Source organism: Homo sapiens, chromosome 6, assembly GCF_000001405.40.
Source record: "Homo sapiens chromosome 6, GRCh38.p14 Primary Assembly".
NCBI classification, from domain to species: domain Eukaryota; kingdom Metazoa; phylum Chordata; class Mammalia; order Primates; family Hominidae; genus Homo; species Homo sapiens.
In genome coordinates this window covers 115,540,826-115,547,496 of record NC_000006.12, presented here as the reverse complement: position 1 = coordinate 115,547,496, position 6,671 = coordinate 115,540,826, and the positions used below count along the sequence as shown (strand labels likewise).

General features: G+C 39.3%; 1 annotated feature.

Annotated features, from left to right (window-relative positions):
- Positions 232-401: an enhancer, noted in NCBI's record as "experimental_87979 CRE fragment used in MPRA reporter constructs". NCBI's record gives its function as "activates a minimal promoter by MPRAs in K562 erythroleukemia cells, with activity observed for the introgressed 6:115868345 variant allele {active_cell/tissue: K562}" and the evidence as "EXISTENCE:reporter gene assay evidence [ECO:0000049][PMID:34662402]".

The following is a 6,671-nucleotide window of genomic DNA, read 5'->3' as shown; positions in this document are numbered from 1 at the left end:
ATTGGGTGCATATACATTTAGGATAGTTAGCTCTTCTTGTTGAATTGATCCCTTTACCATATGTAAGGCCCTTCTTTGTCTTTTCTGATCTTTGTTGGTTTAAAGTCTGCTTTGTCAGAAAGTAGGATTGCAGCCCCTTTTTTTTTTCTGCCTTCCATTTGCTTGGTAATTTTTCCTCTATCCCTTTATTTTGAGCCTATGTGTGTTTTTCACATAAGATGGGTCTCTGGAATATAGCACACCAATGAGTTTTGACTCTTTTTCAAGCTTGCCATTCTGTGTCTTAATTGGGGCATTTAGCCCATTAACATTTAAGGTTAACATTATTATGTGTGAATTTGATCCTGTCATCATAATGCTGGCTGGTTATTTTGCAGATTTGTTGATGTCTTTGCTTCATAGTGCCAGTGGTCTTTCTACTTTAGTGTGTTTTTGCAGTGGCTGGTGACGGTTTTTTCTTCCCCTACCCACCCCCCCTCCCCATATTAATGCTTCCTCCATGAGCTCTTCCAAGGCAGGCCTGGTGGTGACAAATTCCCTCAGCATTTGCTTGTCTGAAAAGGATTTTATTTCTTCTTCACCTATGAAGCTTAGTTTGGCTAGATATAAAATTCTGGGATGGAAATTCTTTTCTTTAAGAATGTTGAATATTGGTACCCAATCTCTTCTGGCTGAGAGGTCCACCCAATCTCTTCTGGCTGAGAGGTCAGTTTCTGCTGAGAGGTCCACTGTTAGTCTAATGGGCTTCCCTTTGTAGATGGCCTGGCCTTTTTTTCTGGCTGCCGTTAGTATTTTTTCCTTTATTTTGACCTTGGAGAATCTGATAATTATGTGTCTTGAGGTTGATCTTCTCTTGGAGTATCTTACTGGGGTTCTCTGGATTTCCTGAATTTGAATGTTGGGCTGTCTTGCTAGGTTGGGTAGTTCTTCTGGATGATATTCTGAAGTATGTTTTCCAACTTGGTTTGTTCTCCCTGTCTCTTTCAGGTACCCCAATCAGTCTTAAGTTCAGCCTTTCTACATAATCATAGCTGTCAGAGATTTTATTCATTTCTTTTCATTCTTTTTTCTCTAAACATGTCGGCCTGTCTTATTTCAAAAAGATAGTCTTCAAGCTCTGAAATTCTTTCCTCTGCTTGGTCTATTCAGTTATTGATACTTATAGTTGCATTGTGAAGTTCTCGTGTTGTGTTATTCAGCTCCATCAGGTCATTTATGTTTGTCTCTAAAGTGGTTATTCTGGTTAACAGCTCCTGCAATGTTTTATCATTATTCTTAGCTTCTTTGCATTGGGTTAGAACATGCTTCTTTAGTTCAACAAAGTTCATTATTACCCACCTTCTGAAGCCTACTTCTGTTGATTCATCAATATTAGCCTCTGCCCAGTTCTGTGCCCTTGCTGAAGTGTTGGAATTATTTGGAGGAGAAGAGGCATTCTGACTTTTTGAGTTTCACCATTTTTTTGTTGATTCTTTCTCATCTTTGTGAGTTTATTTAGCTTCGATCTTTGAGGCTGCTAATCTATGGTTGGGGTTTTTGTGGGGACTTTTTGTTGATGTTGTTTTCTGTTTGTTTGTTTTTCTTTTAAAACTCAGGCCCCTCTTCCATAGGGCTGCTGAAGTTTGCTGGGGATTCACTACAGAACTTAGTCACCTGGGACCCTCCTGCACCTGGAGATGTCACCAGTGGAGGCTGCAGAACAGCAAACATGGCTGCCTGCTCCTTCCTCTGGGATCTCTGTCCCGGAGAGGCACCGACCTGATGCCAGCGGGAACTCTCCTGTGTAAGGTGTCTGGCAACCCCTGTTGGGAGGGGTCTCACCCAGTCAGGAGGTACAGGATCCAGGACCTGCTTAATGAAGCACTGTGGCTGCACCTTGGCAGAGGCGGTGCGTTGCACTGGTGGAAAATCCCACTCCTCCGGCCTGCCTGGATTCCTCAGAGCCAGCAGGGGGAGACTAAGTCTGCTGATCTGCGGTGACTGCGGCCACCTCTGCCTCCAGGGGCTCAGTCCCAAGGATATCAGTGGTCTGTCCCTAAATTCCTGGCTGGAGTAGCTGAAATTCCTGCAGGGAGGCCTCGCCCAGTGAAGAGAGATGGGCCAGGGTCCAGCCTAATGAGGTAGTCTGGCCACGATCTGCCACAGCCGCTATGCTGCACTGTGGGAAATTCCTCCTGGGTCAAATCCGTCCAGTCGCCCACAGGGGAAAATAGCGGGCTGGAGCTGCAGTGATGACAGCCACCCTTCACCCACAAGAGCTCAGTCATCTTTAGCAGCAGGCAGCCGCAGTAATGATGGCCACACTTCCCCCCACTTCGGGAACTCGTAATCTTAGGCAATATCCAGCCGAGTGGCAGCTGAGAATCTGTACAGTTCTGTGCTTGAGACCCAATGCCTTGGTGGCATGGGCTCACGAGGGTGATATCCTGATCCGCGACTTGCACAGATCCATGAAAAAGCATGGTTTCCCAGGCAGGACAGCACAATCACTCACTTCCTCCCTTAGCTGGGGGTGGGAGCTCCCTTACCCCATGTGGCTCCCAGGTGGGCAGTTGCACCATCCTGCTTTCCCTCGCTCTCTGTGGGTCATGCCAACTGCCTAGTCAGCCCTAATGAGAGAACCTGGATACTTCCGTTGATGGTGCAGGATACACCCTCCGTTTTTGTTGTTCTTGGTGGGAGCCTCCTGCCGCAGCTGTTTCTAGTTAGCCTTCTTGGAGCCTCCCCGAGCTTAATTTTCTAAATACGTAGGTTTAAATATTAAATTGAACCAATGCTATTCAGGTTAGTACACTTAATCATTGAGGTCTTTTTTTTTATATATTTGATATCTTTTGATAGTTGGAAAAGACAACGTCTTTTAGATGTGCCTAGCTTCTCATTGGGAATTTGTTTAGTCACATGAAATGATTCTTATTGTAGGATAATTTTCTATTAACCATGGGTGCATATTGCGTATTGCAACTCATTCGTTGGAAGAAATCTGAAAGTATGTTTTAACTCTTTTTATATGACAATTGAAAGTTTCTGCAAATTCTCACATTTGGAATTTATTCTCAGAAAATATCTCTATATCAACTTGCAAATATACTTCAATTCTGTTCTATAACCATAATAAAACTTTTCCTAAAGCAACAACAACAAAATTGCAGTTGCTGAAAAAGGAACAGTTTATGAGCAGTGTCTCTATGGAGACAGTATAATGGATTTATAATAACACTTTGAATATTATTTAGCCTCATTTGTGGAATATGTTTTAAATTTTATTTATTAATATTGAATTCAATTAATGTACAGTCCCATTGAAAAGTATAATTTTCTCTAAACACATCATAACAGGTACAAACAGAAAAATACGTCTTGGCTGGCCTTGGGAAGAGAGAATATCTGAACCTCTATTGTACATATGGCAGCCATCAGGACCATAGTCAGGGGATTCAAGGCCTGGGCTGAGGTCATATCATAGTGTTTATCCCTAAGTCAAATTATATAGAACAAATAAAATATCTGGACTCAAAGTCAGAACAAGAAACCTACAAGTGAGGGGTTAGTACCTGATGGCAGGTAAAGCAGGGAAAAACAGATGAAAGATTGAGGAGCAAAGTTGGAACCTCAGACCTTGGTTTCTGTAGCTAATTAATGAGGTTGTCTACCCTGGAGGGCAAAGCCCAGGAAATGTGCATTTCATTCTCCCATCCAAGGTCTTGGTGTCTGGCTGCTGTTCAAAGCTTCTTGTCAGCCATTCTGTCCCATGGTTCTTCAGCTGGGTCAACAATTCATCCTCCTCCTCTCCTCTTTATATTCTTCCCCTACAGGAAATGCTATTCTTCATGGTTCTTTCTCACTTCCTTTATCCACCTTTTCAACAACTCTGTATCTTTGAAATTTTCTGTAAACCCCTCCTCTTTTGTGATGTCATCCACCATAACCTTGGACAAAGCTAGATGTCTCTTCCCCAGTTTTCTGTTAACACTCTTGTTGTATGGATAACATTACATGGTAATTATTTGTTTATGTGTCTGTGTATTGGTCTTCTTGTTTATCTGTGTGCTCCAGAAAACAAAGATTTTGTTTCATACACACTTAAATCACTGGTGCTTGGCTTGTAGCAGGGATTCATTAACAGATTATTGAATGGAATTGATTTATGTTCCAATAACTTTTCTCCAAACAAAATGTGGATTCTTTACAGAATTTTGAGGCTAAAAAATAAACAAAATATTACCTTGAGTATAGTGTTCCTGACTTGCATTTAAGAAATAAAAAACATTAAAAGCCTTAGTAAATGCCAATCTTAAATATATATAACACTATTAAAAACAACAAAAGCAAAGTAAAATTATAATAATCCAACTATTTTAACTTTTTTTCAAATTATTTTCTAGAATTTGACCATATGTATCCATATTTTACAAATAGCATATGACAAAAATTCCTCCAGATATTGGCAATATATAAGCATTAGCAAATGCAATGATTTCATGTTACATGTATTCTTCTAGGCTCAAATAAATGAAAACTGAAAATCTCATCCATTGATCACCAATTCTGAACAGCATTTTTCTTCTTTTTGTTTCATTTTGCTGATTCACTTATATGAAACAAAGGTAAACACCATGAAAGAATCAATTTTCATTTTAGAAAACTATTACCTGTAGACTTTAGGTGATAACATTGTTTTAAATTCTCTGACCAGAAATTCAGACATCAAATTTTGAGAGCATTTAGGTGATGCTAAATACAAACAAAATGTTTTTGATCAGACAGCTATAATCTGTGAGATAAAAAGTTTGAATATCTTATGAATGTCCTACTAAAATTGAAAGCCTCGTGTAGAGATAGGAATGTGCTTGCTCTCTATGCACTGAACTTCTTTATCTGACCTTGCTCCTTCAAAGATGCACTTGTTACAGAATGTCAGTCACTAATGAGGCCTAAAGTAATTGAGGCTGATTGAGCTGGCTAGATGCTGCCTAATTAGAATGATAAATGGAACTGGCTGATCAAGAATGGAGGAGTGAATGGCACAGAGGGCATTAAACAAGGTCATTCTGTCAAGGAGGACCAGTCATTCAACCCTTCCCCCTCCCCCCAAATACTGACTGTCCTTCATGCCATGTAAGCCCAATACTGTATGATGTATACAGAGCACAGTGATTCCCTGGATAAGTCATTCAGTATAAACACTGAAACCAAATACTTTGAGCCATATAATTCTGTCTATCAAGAATGAGGATTTATGAATGCACTTGTTCTCTAAACAAATATAGGATACCTTAAATTTTACCCCATGAGGTCTACCTTGTTAAACTTTCTATGCCACATGGGGAAATCCATCAAACAACTTCAAGCATTTGAAAGACACACAAAATTTTGTCATAGTGTTTTAGAATCTGAACCACATTTAATTATCTTTTTTATTTCTTAATTATATTGATTAGAACCATTTGCATTTGGTTGTTTTGTCACTTTTTGATTTTGTTTCAAACAAGACATCAGTTTTTTTCTTGATATTGATGGGGGTGTAAGCTTATAAAGATACATTCATAAATATTTCAATGGCAATGTAATTTCACTCAGTTCATTTAGCAATGCAATATTTATTTGCCATAACCTGGGAATAAAAGTCCTGAAGAAATCTATAGCTAATCATACAAAGTCATATCTAAATTATATTTAATAAAAATCTCTCTAATACATCTGTCAGAGCATCCATCCCTGTAATACATTTGTCAGAGAACCCATCCCAAATTTCCTGGACATAGTCCTTAATACGTGAGTATTTTCTAGGGTGGCTGATACTTGCAACTCTCGGCATCATTTTAAAGTTGTGTCTGGAGATGAAGTCTCCACCTTCTTAGAACACCTACTGATGCTCAGTGTAGGTACAATTCTTTGACCTTAGATCTATAACCTGACTCTGGCAAAAAAGAATCTGAAATAAAGGACAGCTGTGGCCCACTCAAAAAAAAGTAGATAACCATGAATTTAGGGAAAATAATCAATAGAAAGTAATGTTAAACTAATATAATAGTAAAAGAATTCAGTACATGAAATTTGGAAATACAAACTATCGCATGCACTAAAATCTCATTCATTAGCATATCTGTCATTTCTTTAAGTGGTTGAATAAGCAGGACATTTTTCCGGTTCAGCTTTCTTAGATGTCTTTTCTGGACCCTTCTACTTCTGTGGTCTTCCCTAAGGATTCAGTTACAGGTATAACCTTTCAACATCCACAGGTAAATATATCATGTCTCTGGCCCTCACAGCTGTGTGCCTGACTCCCTGCGTTGGCTTTAGAAGGAAATGGTTAAGAATAGACTCTCTGTTGACAATGAAGATTGACCTCCAATACTGTTCTTGACATTTACTAGTTATGTAGTTTGAGAGAAGTTTCCCAAACCCCATAAAATGGGTATAATTATGTTCACTTCACTGGGTTGCTTTGAAGATTAAAAGACATATGTACATTTTTTAAAAAAAGCTTTGCTTAGTGGCTGGTACATGGAAAGTACTTGGTAAGTGGTAGATAATGATGTTGCTCACACACCTCGCAGAAGCAACTAGGAAATGAATAAAACTTTTTCTCTTTCTCTGTTGCCACTCCCCACCCCTGTCCTCTACTGATCCCATCATCTAGCCACAGATAAGTATCTTTCACTCCTCTA